Source organism: Homo sapiens, chromosome 16 (genome assembly GCF_000001405.40).
Source record: "Homo sapiens chromosome 16, GRCh38.p14 Primary Assembly".
In the NCBI taxonomy this organism is placed as follows: Eukaryota; Metazoa; Chordata; class Mammalia; order Primates; family Hominidae; genus Homo; species Homo sapiens.
Window position 1 is genome coordinate 8793129 of NC_000016.10, and position 15890 is coordinate 8809018.

Genomic DNA, 15890 nt, shown 5'->3' on the forward strand with positions numbered 1-15890 from the left:
ACCTGTAATCCCAGCACTTTGGGAGGCCGAGGCAGGTGGATCCCTCGAGTTCAGGAGTTCGAGACCAGTCTGGCCAACATGGCAAAACCACATCTCTACTAAAAGCAGAAAAATTAGCTGGGCATGGTGGTGGGTGCCTGTAATCCCAGCTACTCAGGAGGCTGAGGCAGGAGAATCGCTTGAACCTGAGAGGCGGAGTCTGCAGTGAGCCAAGATCACACCACTGCAACCCAGTCTGGGTGACAGAGTAAGACTCCATCTCAAATTTAAAAAAAAGGAAAAGTAACCACTGTTGACAAGAATGTAGAGAAACAGGAACCCTTGTCTGTTGCTGGTGAGAATGTAAAATGGTACAGCTGCTGTGGAAAAGTGGCAGGTCCTCAAAAATAAACAGAATTACCACAGGATCCAGTTAATCCACTTCTCAGTACGTACCCAAAACAACTGAAAGCAGGGACTCAAACAGATACTCGTATACCAGTGTTCACAGCAATAGCCAAATGTTCATTCATCAGTAGTCAAAAGGTGACGACAACTCAAATGTCCATCAACAGATGGACAAACAAAATGTGGCACACACAGAGAATACACACTGCACCCGTAAATATATTTAACCATAAAAAAGAAATAGCACTGACATATGCTACAACACGGATGCACCTTGACAACACTACACCAAGTCAAAGAAGCCAGATACAGGCCAGCCGCACTGGCTCACGCCTATAATCCCAGCACTGTGGGAGGCCGAGGTGGGTGATCACTTGAGGTCAGAGATTCCAGGTCAGCCTGGACAACATGGTGAAACCCCATCTCTACTAAAAATACAAAAATTAGCCAGGCTTGGCGTCAGGCACCTATAATCCCAGCTACTTGGGAGGCTGAGGCAGAATCATTTGAGCTGGTGAGGCGGAAGTTGCAGTGAGTGGACATCGCGCCACTGCTCTCTGGCCTGGGAAACAGAGCGAGACTTCAACTCAAAAAAAAAAAAAAAAAAGAGCCAGATACAAAGGGTCACATATTGTATGATTCCATTTATATGAAATATCCAGAACAGGTGAATCCAGAGGGACAGAAAGCAGGTTAGTGGTTGCCAAGGGCTGGAAAAAGAAGGAAATTATTGCTCAATGGGTATATTAGTTCTGTTTGGGATAATGAAAATGTTCTGGAAATAGATGGTGGTGACGGTTGTACAACATTTTTTGTTTTGTTTGTTTTTGAGATAGTCTGGCTGTCTCCCAGGCTGGAGTGCATTGGTGCAATCTCGGCTCACTGCAACCTCTGCCTCCCGGGTTCAAGCTTCTCAAGTAGCTGGGAATACAAGTGCCCACCACCATGCCCAGCTAATTTTTGTATTTTCAGTAGAGACAGGGTTTTGCCATGTTGGCCAGGCTGGTCTTGAACTCCTGACTTCAAGTGATCCACACGCCTCAGCCTCCCAAAGTGCTGGGATTACAGGCATGAGACAGTGTGCCCAGCCTGTACAACATTGTTAATATACTTAATGTCCCTGAATTGCACACTTAAAAATGATTAAAAGGATAAATTTGTTAGGTGTATCTTGGTATGGTTAAGAAAAATGGAAGGCTACACAATAAAAAAAAATATTTTTTTTTTGAGACGGAGTCTCACTCTGTCGCCCAGGCTGGAGTGCAGTGGCGTGATCTCGGCTCACTGCAAACTCCGCCTCCCAGGTTCACACCATTGTCCTGCCTCAGCCTCCCGAGTAGCTGGGACTACAGGCACCTGCCACCACGCCCAGCTAATTTTTTTGTATTTTTTAGTGGAGACACGGTTTCACCCTGTTAGCGAGGATGGCCTCGATCTCCTGACCTCGTGATCCGCCACCTTGACCTCCCAACGTGCTGGGATTACAGGTGTGAGCCACCGCCCCCAGCGATAAAACATTCTTATTGACTTTCGAGTGGCAAAATAATAAAGATCATGCCTTCCTTCCTCTTTACTGTGTTACAAATTGTATAATGAACATATATTATTAATTATGTGGGGCAATGTATATAACTGGCTTAAGTTTATAAAATAACGTACCAGCATCCGGTGCATTTGGCTTTATTACACTGCAGGGCCATCCAAAGCAAGAGCCTCTAGACCTCTGGGTGGTGAACAAATCTCAACTGGGGTTTCGTGCCTACCTGGACGACATCTGCTCGTCAATGTGTAGTTAACATCCTGACAGACCCTTCTGCCGCTGGATATGTGAGGGGCACAGCACAGGGCTCTGGAAGTCCCTGCTGACTGCTCGAAGCCTTTCTCCCTGCTAAAACCTCTGACCAAATGCTTAATAATATCTGCTGTAGGCTGTTGAGTCTGCCACACGTTTGACATTTATTGTTTATTCCCACACCCATCCCATGAAACAAGCAGGACTTTCCATTTTACAGATGTGAAAACCAAGATTCAAAGAGACTCAATAACCTGCTCCAGGACAAATGACAGAACTGAGACTTCTGACTCCAAATCTTACGCTCCCCCGCCACACCTCTTTGCCTTTCTCTTTCACACCAATGGACTCTATGGGTGACCTTGGCATAGGTTCTTCTAAGAACTGGCTCTTAACAAAAACTTCTGGCCATTATCTGACTGAATGTCACAAACAAGTGCTGTAAGAACTTGCTTAGAGCCTTTTTCCTAAACCTGTACACCAGCTCTTGCCTTGTGAATTTATTCACCACAAAACACATGTTCCCAGGGGCCCAGGCAAAGTCTCCAAGTACCCAGTCCCCTTTCTTCAGCCTTGCCCACACCCTCAGCCTTCCTGTTAATCCAGGCGACCCAGGGTTACCCAGAGGTCCAGGTCCCAGTTGTTCACTTGAGCATCTGATGTACCCCAAACACCTGTGTGAAACGCTCTCTGTCCAGGATGCGTCCATAGCGCAGGGTGACGTAGAAGGTCTGTTTCCCACTGTACCGCTGGATACGCACAAACATCTCCTGAGGCCGGTCCTTGGTTTCTGTCAGGGGAATCACATCTGCCATGGGACAGTATGTGTCCTGCCGCCAGCCCCAGAAGTTCAGATGGGCCACCCGCAGCATGGTGCCAGACTCATTCAGATACAGGATACCAACCAGTCTCCGTAAGAAATAGCTCATCCAGCACAGCATGGTCAGGGCAAAGCCCGATATCCCACTCATGAGGCACACGGTGTTGAGAGTGAGGAGGCCCTGGGAGTACAAGTAATAGCCTGGTGGCAAAGCTACCACTGTCAGGGCAGTCTGTGCCAACTTCAGTCGTGACAGGAACCCGAAGGTTCTGATGGCATCAAAACGGTAAAACATCCAGAATTTCTCAGTCTCTGCGTTTGGTAGTTTCTCCTTCGAGATGGGTGAACTGCTGCCCACCCACCTCTTAGGATCCTCCTGCCCACTGCAGCACCACAGCCCATGGAGAGGCCTTTCCCACACAGCTTTTCCCCGAAACCTACGCACAGCTCGGAGAAGGGCAGCCTGAAAGGGAGACAGTAGACCATTTCTCTCATGGAACTCAACCACATTAATCACACGGTGAACATCTGCAAAGCACCATACTCTAAGGCTTCTGCCAATCCTGCAAGGTAACCGTTATTGCCAGACGAGGGAAGGGTAAAGCCAGATGCTATCTCATGTGGGCATCACAACAGCTATCTAAGATAGTTATCACTATTTCCACTTTACCACTAGGGAAACTAAGCCCAGAGAGGGTAAGATATTTACCAAAGATCACACAGTCAGTGAGTGCAGCAGAGTCCTCCTTCCACCAGGCAATTCCAAATAAATACAGGAAAGGAGGTGCGGCCGTCATTAATTCAAAACATATCCAGGGAGGACAAACTCTGGGCTGGACAATGTATCCACAAGGGGGTGTGAACATTTCCCCAAGCAGGAAACTAAATAATCAGTGTCTTAGTGGGGAACTCGAGCAACAAATCTGTGAGATATTTATTCCAATAAACTTTCTAATTCTCTGTTTGATTCATATGCTATCTTGGGTGCTGGAGGGAACTGCTGCTTTCTCTTAGCCTAGTCTGGGGAAGGGGAAACAGCGGAGAAGGAGAAGGAGCGAGGCAGGGAGGCCCCAACACGTAGCACAAGGGTATTACTAGGTGGGTAGTGAAGCAGTAAAAGCTCTTATTCCAATTCTGGCTCCAACAGTAATTTGTGAGCAAATTACTCCACACCCCTGAGATTCGGTTTCTTCGCCTTTCAAAATGGGGACTCAGAACACAGTGAACCAGAGGATGGTTTCAGAGTCCTCAACTTAGTACCTAATGCACTGTGAGAGCTCGGCGAGTTTTAGCTACTACTACTGTGCGCATGTGACCCAAGGAGGGCAAGAGAAAGCCCGGGAAAAGCGAACTGTAACACACGCCAGAGCTTCCTCCCACGGATCCTCGGAGTCCGAAACCCGAGCGTCGGGCCTGCCCGCCCCAGCCCTGACCCCGACCCCAAAGAGCATCACCCCCTCAAGGCTCGCCACCCGCCTCCTTACCATGGCCCCACCACCTGCTGCCGGAAGTAAATCCCACCGGCCCCCGGAACCCCTAAGAGCGCATGCTCGAATGTACAAGGCGGGCGTGATCTGCGTTGCACCCTGGGAGTTGCGGTCCAGGAATCGTGGCTGCCGCTACTCCCAGGCGTTATGGGAACGGAGTCCCCTCCTCTTCCCGACGTGCCCTGCGACTCAGCGGCCGAACCCGGAAGTTCCGGGCCGAGTTCCTCGTGCCAACGTGTCTTGTAAGGTGCGGCTAGAAACTGGGGACATGGCAGCGCCTGGCCCAGCGCTCTGCCTCTTCGACGTGGATGGGACCCTCACCGCCCCGCGGCAGGTAAGTGGCGGCCGGCGGGCTGCTGGCAGCCGACGCGGAGCCCGTGCTGTTCCCAGTTGGGGCTATCGACCACCCAGGGTAGGCGCCAAGGGGTGGCTAAGGACCGCCTACGTCCTCACGGCGCTGAACCCTATTCTGGGTGCACTGGAGGAATGAGAGGGAGGCCCTAACCAGCTCTTGAAGAGCTCTGGTGCTTGGAAAGATGAGACGGGGCTGAAGAACTCTTAAGAGCAGGAAACTTGTGCTAGGTTGGAAAATGTAATCTGGACTCACCGCTAGTGCTCGGGACTGATAGACCAGGATTTCAACCCAAGATCAGGCCCCCTTATCAGCTATGTGTCGGCCCCAATCCTGTAACCAATGGGCTGTGCCGTGAGTCATGATATTAAAAACAGGTTTCCAGGTCAAACCGACCTAGTGGAGTCTCATCTTCACCTCTTGACATCTGTGTGACCTTCAGCGAGTCATTAACCTCTCTGAGCCTCAACATCTACAGCTTTAAATGGGGATGTTACCTGTTCCATATGGTGTCTGTGAGGATCAAATGAGATTGTGTAAGTTCTTGAAAGTATGTTGGACACAACACACTAGGCCTCAGTAAATAGTAGCCACCTCCACCACACCCATCTCCAGCCCCTGCAATGGACTAGGGAGATGGAGGAGCCCTAGGTTATTACAGGCTGCCCGCTGAGAGCCTCTTTGGGCCCTTGGAAACTTGCTTTCCACTTTCAGATTTTGCTGCTACAGGCACAGATAAGTTTCAGTTACGATCAGCCTTGAGGTGAGGCTCTCCTGGCCCCTTTTCAGAAATTGGCCACTGAACACTGGCCATTTCAACTTGAGACTGGACCCCAATGGTCTCACTATCCTCAGCTTCTACCCTCACCCCTCATAGTTTTCGCTTGGTGGTAACAATGGTGTGCTCCAGAAGTCCAGGTCAAATGCGTGTGACCTTAGACGTATCATTTTGCCCTTCTCAGCCACAGGTTTGATTTACCTAGTGATGACGCTCAACTCCCAAGTTCTTCAAAGGCTTTTTCTGATTCTGAAATTCAGTGATCACACACTTGGGTTTGTTAAAAGCCCATAGTGGTCTAAAACTCCGGTCCCCAATTCATTTTTTGTAAAGGGCCATATAGCAAATACTTCTCTGTCTTTGCTGACTATGTGGTCTATAGTAACCACTCAACTTTAGTGCAAAACCAGCCATAAACCCTATATAAATAAGAGTGGCTGTGTACCAATAAAATTTTATTTATTTATTACAAAAACAAACAGCTGCCCAATGTGGTCTGTGGGCCATAGTGGTCTAGGGTTTACATTGCCACCCTTTTTCATATCACTGAACCCTCTCAACCTTCCTCCATCTTTCTTCCCAGGTAGGATAGTTGTTATTACCGTTTTAAACATAAGGAAACACACTCAGTGAAGAACTAACCTCCTCAGTTTCACACAGCCAACCTGGTACAAGTCTCTGGGCCTCAGGATATTGGTTCCTGTCAAGTTTGCCATTTCCTATCTGTGCTAAGGTGGAAGCTGTTCTAGTCACTGGGTATGCCATTCAGGAAAGTGCTTCTGATTTTCTGATTTTCACAGTTCTGACTCTTTTTTTTTTTTTAAGACAGAGTCTCACTCTGTCACCAGACTGGAGTGTAGTGGCCCAATCTCAGTTCACTGCAACCTCCACCTCCCAGGTTCAAGCAATTCTCCTGCCTCAGGCAACCAAGTAGCTGGTGCTACAGGCAGGCACCACCACGCCTGGCTAATTTTTGTATTTTTAGTAGAGATGGGGTTTCACTGTGTTGGCCAGGATGGTCTCTATCTCTGGACCTCGTGATCCACCCGCCTCGGCCTCCCAAAGTGCTGGGATTACAGGCGTGAGCCACCGTGTTCTGACTTTTAAAGGCCACTCCTCCAATTCTAGATTCTGTCTAATAGGTCCAGATTCCACTGTGAGAGTAGAAAAGATTGCACTCTATTACAAACCCTTCTGTACAATTTTAATCACATTCATGTATTACTCTAAAAAAGTTTTTTAAAGAAAAATCATTGAACTCCAAGTGTTTATATACTGAGGTTGAATTAAATGGTTTTTTGTATTTTCTAAATTTCTAGTAAAAAGATATTCAGCCGGGCACGGTAGTTCATGCCTATAATCCCAGCACTTGGGGAGGCTGAGGCGGGTGGATCACTTGAGGTCAGGAGTTCGAGACCAGCCTTGCCAACATGGTGAAACCCAGTCTCTACTAAAAATACAAAAAGATTAGCCGAGCATGATGGCGGGCGCCTGTAATCCTGGCTACCTGGGAGGCTGAGACAGGAGAATCGCTTGAACCCAGGAAGTGGAGGTTGCAATGAGCCGAGACCACACCATTGCACTCCAGCCTGGGTGACAGAGCACGACTTCGTGTCAAAAAAAAAAAAAAAAAGACATTCAGTGTAAATGTACAACTGAGATTGCTCAAAGTGCTGAGTTATAAGACTTGTAAAAATACATTGTGATGTGTCTTAATGTAGGGCTATTTTTTCATCTTAGTTTATAACTTTTTTAAAATTATCACACAGTTTGGAATTTACCATAAGATTATACCACTAAGACCACTCTTTCTAGATAGGAGCTTTGCTTTTAGAAGAGACTAAAAAATCTAGTTATCTTACTCTTTTACATTTTTGTTTTGTTTTGGGTGATTGCAATAAAATCAATTCTAAGCTTCTCCTTTTTTTTTTTTTTTTGTTTTGTTTTGTTTTGTTTTGAGACGAAGTCTCGCTCTGTGACCCAGGCTGGAGTGCAGTGGCACGATCTTGGCTCACTGCAACCTCTGACTCCCGGGTTCAAGTGATTCTCCTGCCTCAGCCTCCCGAGTAGCTGGGACTACAGGCGCCCACCAGCGCGCCCGCCTAATTTTTGTATTTTTAATAGAGACAGGGTTTCGCCACGTTGGCCAGGCTGATCTCGAACTCTGACCTCAGGTGATCCACCCGCCTCGGCCTCCTAAAGTGCCGGGATTACAGGCATGAGCCTCCATGTCTGGCCCTAAGCTTCCTCTTTAATTTCATTATGTTGTTTTATTTTAAAATCAACAACTTAAATCCATAAATGGAGTATAGTGTAGCATTTAAAAGGAATGATGAGCTAGATCTGTGTTGGCATGAAAAGATCACCACAGCATAGTGCTGAAAAACCAAAGTCCCTGCACAGGACATGATTCCATTTATGTTTCAAAAATAAGACCTATTTGTATATGTGCCCATAGATGGGTATATAAATGCATAGAAAAATAGCTGGGACAGTGCACAACAGCTACTAACATATTACCTGTGTTTAAAATTTGGTAAAAATAACACTTAAGTTTATTCTGGTAAAGATGCCCCCCCAGTTACAACTAAAATATTTGAACTATGTACAGAGCTGGTAACTTAATTGGCATGTATGAAAATAAGGCTTATAGACCTGGCTTATACCTGTAATCTCAGCACTTTGGGAGGCCAAGGCTGGTGGATCTCCTGAACCCAGGAGTTCCAGACTGGCCTGGGCAACATGGCAAAACTTAGTCTCTACAAAATATAAAAAAATTAGCCAGGTGTGCTGGCACATAACTATGGTCCCAGCTACTCAGGAGGCAGAGATAGGAGGATCACCGGAGTCCAGGGAGGTCGAGGCTGCGATGAGCTATGACCATGCCACTGCACTCCAGCTTGGGTGACAAGTGAGACCCTATCTCAAAAAAAAATTTTTTCTTTAATTTTTAAATAAGAAAATAAGACTTATGTACTTGTGTTACCCTTAGAGTTTTGGTCTCCTGATTATTGTGTGGCTTATGACTGTTGTATTTTCTTTCTTGAAATTTAGAAAATTACCAAAGAAATGGATGACTTCCTACAAAAATTGAGGCAGAAGATCAAAATCGGAGTGGTAGGCGGATCGGACTTTGAGAAAGTGCAGGAGCAACTGGGAAATGATGGTAAATGATGGGTTGCTAATTACATCTGGTAAAAGATTAACTTCTTATGAGGATATTGTTGCCAAGTATCATAGGCTGCCCTAAAACCTTGTCCCCATATGGCGGGCTTTCTGCTTCCTTTTTTGGGAAACATTTTCTTGGCCTTTGCTTTTCCTCTGCTTTTAATCCAGTACATTTCTGGAGTTACTGATGGAGAACTGGGTACTCAGATGTGTGAGTAGATTCACCTAGAAAGGTCAGTGGCTGTATCTGCACATGATAATCTCTCTGCCTGGAATACTTCTTGCTTGTACCCGTTGACAGCCCTTCTAGCCCCAGTCAGACCGGTCTTCATATTGTCCCTCTGACAGCCCCCCTCACCTCCCCATCACTGAAACAGAATCTCCAGCACAGGACCCCGAAAAACCAGAGAGGCTTATTGACCCCTTCACTGGAGAGTCTGACTTGATAGGTCTGTGGAGCCTGGGAATCCTATTTCAGTGAGTACCTCTGAGAGATTCTAGTGTACAACCTTGCTAATGTAGCATTCTGTAATTATTGTAAACTATCCGATTATATGTTTTTGAAGAGCAGGAGTATGGGTTATTCATCTCCATAGCCACAGGGCCTCCTGGCCTGTAAGAAATTGTAAGTGGATGCCAGGCGCGGTGGCTCACGCTTATAATCCCAGCACTTGGGGAGGCCGAGGCGGATGGATCACCTGAGGTCAGGAGTTTGAGACCAGCCTGGCCGACATGATCAAACCCCATTTCTACTAAAACTACAAAAAATGAGCTGGGCGTGATGACGGGCACCTGTAATCCCAGCTACTCAGGAGGCCGAGGCAGGAGAATTGCTTGAACCCAGGAGGCAGAGGTTGCAATGAGCCGAGATCACACCATTGCACTCCAGCCTGGGCAATAAGAACGAAACTCCGTCTTGGAAAAAAAAAAAAATTATAAGTGGAGAGGTGGATGAATTGATTGTTCTTTTAACCCCTGTTGTCCCCAGAGTCCTCACATCTTGGAACCAGCTCCTCTAGAGCAAGATTTCTCACCTTCGCACTATTGATATTTTGGACCAGTTAGTTCTCCATTATGAAGGCTGTCCTGTGCATTGTAGGGTCTTTAGCAACATCCCAGGCCTCTACCCACTAGATGCCCACAGCATACACACACGCACACATACGGCTATGACTACCAGAAATGTCTCCAGACATTGCCAAATGACCTCTGTGTAAAATTACCCCCGTTTGAGAACTACTGTTCTCAAAGATGTAATATGTTACAGTCCAAATCTGTATGGACTGTATTTATAGGATCACCATTACTAGAAGAGTAATCTCTGCAATCTCTTTAAAACTCTCTCTTCCACTTCCACTTCATTTTCCTGGTAGATCTCCTACTTAGAAATGCTATAAACCGCATACTGGGGATCACGAAGCCCTGAAAATCCTGTTACCTGCTCATGATCGCCCTTTCTGCATCTAGTTGTGTATTTAACCACTTGCTCAGGGAAGTTTTGTGTAGTGTAGCATAGTGTCTGCACCTGTCAGAGACATGCAACAATAGAATCAAAACATTCACAGGCCAAAAGACAGTTGAAGGCCCACCTGTATCAGAATCACCTGGGAAGCTTATTAAAATATGAGTGTGGGGTCCCCACCCAACACATAGGGGATCTGCATTTTAACAGGTACCTGAAGTTTGAGAATCCCTTCATTAAGGTTGACAACATGGATAGTTTCCAAACCAAACTGATTATAAGAATCACTGAAGAGCTTTTTTTAAAATTTATTTTATTTATTTATTTATTTTTATTTTTTTGAGACAGTCTTATTCTCTGGTGCAGTGGCACAATCTTGGCTCACTGTAACCTCTGCGTCCTGGGTTCAAGTGATTCGTGTGCCTCAGCCTCCGAAGTAGCTGGGACTACAGGCGCCCACCAGCACGCCCGGCTAATTTTTGTATTTTTAGTAGAGACGGGGTTTTACCATGTTGGCCAGGCTGGTCTTGAACTTGCGACCTCAGGTGATCTGGCCACCTTGGCCTCCCAAAGTGCTGGGATTACAGGCATGAGTCACCGTGCCTGGCCACCAAAGGTCTTTTAGTGCTTTGTTTTTTGTTTTTTGGGTTTTTTTTGTTTTTTTTTTTTTTTTTTTTGACGTTAGACAGAGTCTTGCACCGTTGCCGAGGCTGGAGTGCAGTGGCACAATCTTGGCTCACTGAACCCTCTGCCTCCTGGGTTCAAGCAATTCTCCTGCCTCAGCCTCCGGAGTAGCTGGGGTTACAGGCGCACACCACCATGCCTGGCTAATTTTTTGTATTTTTAGTAGAGACGGGGGTTTCACTATGTTGGCCAGGCTGGTCTGGAACTCCTGACCTAGTAAAACCCCGCCAGCCTCAGCCTCCCAAAGTGCTGGGATTACAGGTGTGAGCCACACCGCACCCGACCCAAAGAGCTTTTTTAAAAATATATTTAGCCTGTCCCTCAGCAATTCTGATTCAGGAAGCGAGAGAGCAAAGCTTGGAAATCTGCATTTTCACACTGCCCTGGTTGCTGCTGGTGAACCATCAGCATCATGGACGAGTATCTTCCTCTACAGACAGTCAGGCTGAAGTCAGGGACATAAGATAACCTGTCACCAAGTCCCTAATCTCCTGCCCAGTCATCATCGTTTAAATGTGTAACCAAAAAGAGCCATTAAAAAAACAAGGAACTTTTTTCCATACTCTTCTCTTAGTCTGTAAGATGAGATAGTCTTTCACAGTCCTTGCTGGAGTTTAGCGGTTTTATTGGTGGTCATTGTTAATCAAGGAGTAAAAACACAGGTTTTGATTCTTTGCATTCTAAGTGTTTTTTTGGTTTTGATTGTAGTGGTTGAAAAATACGATTATGTGTTTCCAGAAAATGGCTTGGTAGCATACAAAGATGGGAAACTCTTGTGTAGACAGGTAGGTTCTTGAGTATCTGAATTACTATATACTATTAAAAGTGTTTTCTAAAAGGGCATTTCACAATGAATGCCTCTAGGAAGATGAGGAACGGGTAGAAATGAATCTTTACTCTGTATTTTTTGTTTTGCATTTTGAACCATGTGACTATTACATATTCTACATTGATAACTAAATTTTTATACTTTTTAAATCTAATATTTCTCTCTTTTCTTATTTTGTTTTTGAGACGGAGTCTTGCTCTGTCACCCAGGCTGGAGCTGGAGTGCAGCGGCACGATCTCAGCTCACTACAACCTCCGCCTACCTCCGCCTCCCTGGTTCAAACAATTCTTACGCCTCAGCCTCCCCCATAGCTGGGATTACAGGCACACGCCACCACACCCAGCTAATTTTTGTATTTTTGGTAGAGACAGGGTTTCACCATGTTGGCCAGGCTGATCTCTAACCCCTGACCTCAAGTGATCCGCCCACCTCAGCCTCCCAGAGTGCTGGGATTACAGGCATGAGCCACCACACCCAGCCTTTTCTTCTTGTTTTAAAAAGATGGGGTCTTGCTGTGTTAACCAGGCTGGAGTGCAGTGGTGCAATCCCAGTGGCCTAGAACTCCTGGGCACAGGTGATCCTCTGCCTCAGCCTCCCACGTAGCAGGGACTACAGGCACATGCCACCAAGCCTGGCTTTAAATCTATTAATAACATTTCTATGATGATAAAACTAGAGCAGACTGCTTCACTATAAGCATTTTTTTTTTTCTTTTTTCTTTTTTCGTGGTGGAATCTCACTCTTGCCCAGGCTGGAGTGCAGTGGCTCAATCCTGGCTCACTGTAACCTCTGCCTCCTGGGTTCAAATGATTCTTGTGCCTCAGCCTCCCTAGGTGGGATTACAGGCATCCACCAGCATGCCCGGCTCATTTTTGTATTTTTAGTAGAGGCAGGGTTTCACCATGTTTGCCAGGCTGGTCTCGAGCTCATGACTTGAAGTCATCCACCTGCCTCAGCTTCCCAAAATGCTGGGATTACAGGTGTGAGCTGCCACGCCTGGGCACTATAAGCATTTTTAAGAGGTACTGTGTAGCTCTTAGTAGTAGTAAGATCATTCTATTCAGACATAAGAGAATGCCGAAGTGGAACAAATATATTGTCTGTCAATATCTGGAGATATTTTAATTGAATAAAAGTGGCAGCAGTAAGCTCTTTGGACCTTACAGGAAGCATTTGAACAATAATGAGTACAAAAATCTTGGGTGATGAAGCAGAAAATGCTTTTGACTAAAGCTTTTCTGGCTTGCCTAATGCTTTTGACCAGAGAAATAAGAGAAGGAATTAAACAGACAGTGGGGCATGTCACCATCACTGCTACATCAGCCTACTGATTTTCAGCAATCGTGGCTGAAGACCCTGGGTTTGCTATGAAGCTGTTTTGAAAATGCTCCTGCTAAATCAAGTAACTCAAGTATTTTCTTCATCTAGAATATTCAAAGTCATCTGGGTGAGGCCCTAATCCAAGATTTAATCAACTACTGTCTGAGCTACATTGCGAAAATTAAACTCCCGAAGAAGAGGTGGGTTTGCTTTTAACAAAGAGGCGTCACAGGAACATAGCGTAGTGTCACATGGTGGGCTAATGTGGGCATTCTCCAAATAGGATTATAAAAATCACCTAAAGAGTTTTAAAAACAAAGTCTGATATTTAGCCCGCCCCTTGGCAATTCTGGTTCAGAAAGCCTGAGAGCCGAGCTTGGAAATCCACATTTTCTCTGGCTGCCCTGGTGCTGCTGGTTCACAGCAGGGTTCAGTAGCCACCATGGGCCAGCGAATTTAAATCCGAATCCCAGCACTTAGTAAGGAATAATTGGAAACAGTCCACAAAGCCAACAGTACAAGAATGATTACGTAAATGATGGCTTATCCACATGATGGAAATTTATACAACCATTGAAGACCATATGCTTTCAAAGGCTGTCAGTGAGAGGAAACAGCAGTGAAGCAGCATGTACAAAAAGCAACAGAAACCCTAGATCGGGAAGTCTGAGACAGGAAGCCTTCGGGCCAGATCCACGTAAAACCCAAATCTGGTTGGCCTGCAGTGTTAAAGAAAATCGGATTAATTGCCATCATGTAAAAGTCTGATTTTATGTTTGTTTTATTTATTTATGAATTTATTTTTGAGACCGAGTCTCACTCTGTGGCCGAGGCTGGAGTGCAGTGGCAGGATCTCACAGCTCACTGCAACCTCCGCCTCCCAGGTTCAAGCAATTCTTCTGCCTCAGCCTCTCGAGTAGCTGGGATTATAGGCGCACACCACCATGCCCAGCTAATTTTTTTTTTTTTTTGTATTTTTAGTAGAGATGGCATTTCACTCTGTTGGCCAGGCTGATATCGAACTCCCAACCTCAACTGATCCACCCACCTTGGCCTCCCAAATTGCTGGTGTCAAAGGCGTGAGCCACCTTGCCCAGCCTGATTTTATGTTTTAAACATCTGGATTTCTGGCTTCTGTTGGCAAATCTGAGACCTGGCTACTCCGGCTCCCAGTTCCCTGCCGGCAGGTGCCACCTGAGCAGCTGCCACCTGACTCATGGACATTTGTTCCAGTCACAGACTGCTTCTCTCATTTTCTGTCTCCCTAGGCTTTCTTTTTGTTTTTTGTTTTGTTTTGTTTTTTGAGAGAGAGGATCTCGCCCTGTTGCCCAGGCTGGAGTGCAGTGGCATGATCATAGCTCACTGCAGCCTCAACCTCCTTGGCTCAAGTGATCCTCCTACCTCAGCCTCCTGAGTAGCTGGGACTACAGGCACATGCCGCCATGCCTGACTAATTTTTTAATTTTTTGTAGAGATAGGGTCTTGCCGTATGGCCCAGGCTGGTCTCCAACTCCTGGCCTCAAGCGATCCTCCCACTTCACTCTCCCAAAATGTTGGGATTACAGGCATTAGCCACTGCCCCTGGCTTTCATAAATGTTTGGTTTGGGGACCTACCTTCTGCCATGGGTACAATTATCTCAGTTCCATTTTTAAAATAATAGTAATAATAATAATGATGAACATAAATGCCGACAGTAAATTTAAAGACTGGCAGGAAATAGACCCAAATGTTAACAGTGGCTATTTCTTGATGGTGAGGTTGCAAGTGATTTCTTTGAAATCCTTCTCATTTTTACCCCCAGTTTTCAACACTTACTATGTAACACCTTAATCATCAGGGTTGGAATTAAGTGGCAATTCAATTTCAGGGCTGGGTGTACTTCAGAGGCTGCTTCACACTATTAGGATTCATAACCTGAGCGCCTCCTGCTCAGCATCTCCAGCCAGAGTGCAGGAATGTCCCTTAGCCGAGGGGGAGGCCTGCATGAGACAGGCTGGACATGGACTTGGTTATTGTTGCAGCTGGGTAATGAGCACATGAGGACTTATCCTATTCTGTTTACTTTTGTGTGTGTTAGAAATTTTCCATGGCGAAAAGATAAAATATACAAATATCCCAGGTCAGTTCCATTTTTACTTTGGGCTGAGCACTAAGGGAGGATTTAAAAAAAAAAAAGGCATAATCCTGTCCTCAAAGAGCGTATCATTTAGCGAGGGAGAGGGATGTGGAGAGCCATAATTCCAGAACAGTAGAAGAGACCTGGTGAATCCAGGAGGCAGAACTGAGACCCACCTTGATCCACATTTGTCCACATTTGCCTGACAACACTAACTACATGCCCCACAACGGCCAGGCAGATGCAGTAAGACTTCAGAGAGCCCAGGTCTTTAGGGCGGAACTGATTGCTTAGTAAACCACCTTCAGCCTTGTTTTGGGGAAGGCTTTCTAAACTGCATCAACTTCTCTCTGTGCCTTGGAAATGAGAAGAAGAATATGTCCTTGAGTGGGGGGGCATTAATTGAGCTCTTTTTCTGATCATTAGGACCTTTAGCCCTAGGGTCACCCGGGGCACGGTCACCCGTCCCCTAGTGCCTCAGTGCTCATACACACGTGGTAGAGGACAGGCTGGGCCTCTGCCAACTCCGGGACGGCCTGGACATGGGATTATTGAGAGAGATTTTTAGGCTCGCATATTTTGTTACATCATTTGCCTCTTTCTCTGCAAGTTGAGCAAAATAGGAGAGAGGATCCAGACGATTGAGATTTTGCTGTTTTTACTTTAATGAGTATTCATTGCTTCCCAGTTTAC

General features: G+C 46.1%; 2 protein-coding genes across 3 annotated transcripts in view, besides 4 other annotated features; one reads left to right on the plus strand and one right to left on the minus strand.

Moving 5' to 3' along the window:
• TMEM186 (transmembrane protein 186) lies at nt 2052–4511 on the minus strand. Its single transcript, NM_015421.4, has 2 exons — nt 4484–4511; nt 2052–3462 (listed from the first exon to the last, which is right to left on the minus strand). Exons 1-2 carry the CDS (start codon nt 4484–4486, stop codon nt 2824–2826), a joined length of 642 nt encoding a protein of 213 aa, NP_056236.2. The 5' UTR covers nt 4487–4511; the 3' UTR covers nt 2052–2823.
• Nucleotides 4105–4799: an enhancer, noted in NCBI's record as "H3K27ac hESC enhancer chr16:8891090-8891784 (GRCh37/hg19 assembly coordinates)". NCBI's record gives its function as "activates a minimal SCP1, AML or CMV promoter by ChIP-STARR-seq in naive H9 embryonic stem cells {active_cell/tissue: H9 hESC(naive)}" and the evidence as "EXISTENCE:reporter gene assay evidence [ECO:0000049][PMID:30033119]".
• Nucleotides 4438–4487: an enhancer, noted in NCBI's record as "active region_10353". NCBI's record gives its function as "activates an Ori minimal core promoter by ATAC-STARR-seq in GM12878 lymphoblastoid cells {active_cell/tissue: GM12878}" and the evidence as "EXISTENCE:reporter gene assay evidence [ECO:0000049][PMID:35858748]".
• The window catches only part of PMM2 (phosphomannomutase 2), a 51487-nt gene continuing 40307 nt past the window's right edge, over nt 4711–15890 (plus strand). Inside the window, exons 1-4 of one of the 2 annotated variants that reach the window (NM_000303.3) lie at nt 4711–4820; nt 8671–8782; nt 11639–11715; nt 13188–13279. In NM_000303.3, the coding sequence (NP_000294.1) occupies nt 4755–4820; nt 8671–8782; nt 11639–11715; nt 13188–13279 (347 nt within the window). In that variant the 5' untranslated portion in view covers nt 4711–4754. Of the gene's footprint in view, nt 4821–8670; nt 8783–11638; nt 11716–13187; nt 13280–15890 lie in introns of those variants that run through there. The other variant, XM_047434215.1, reaches the window with a different exon arrangement.
• Nucleotides 4800–5494: an enhancer, noted in NCBI's record as "H3K27ac hESC enhancer chr16:8891785-8892479 (GRCh37/hg19 assembly coordinates)". NCBI's record gives its function as "activates a minimal SCP1, AML or CMV promoter by ChIP-STARR-seq in primed H9 embryonic stem cells {active_cell/tissue: H9 hESC(primed)}" and the evidence as "EXISTENCE:reporter gene assay evidence [ECO:0000049][PMID:30033119]".
• Nucleotides 6350–6399: a silencer, noted in NCBI's record as "silent region_7178". NCBI's record gives its function as "represses an Ori minimal core promoter by ATAC-STARR-seq in GM12878 lymphoblastoid cells {active_cell/tissue: GM12878}" and the evidence as "EXISTENCE:reporter gene assay evidence [ECO:0000049][PMID:35858748]".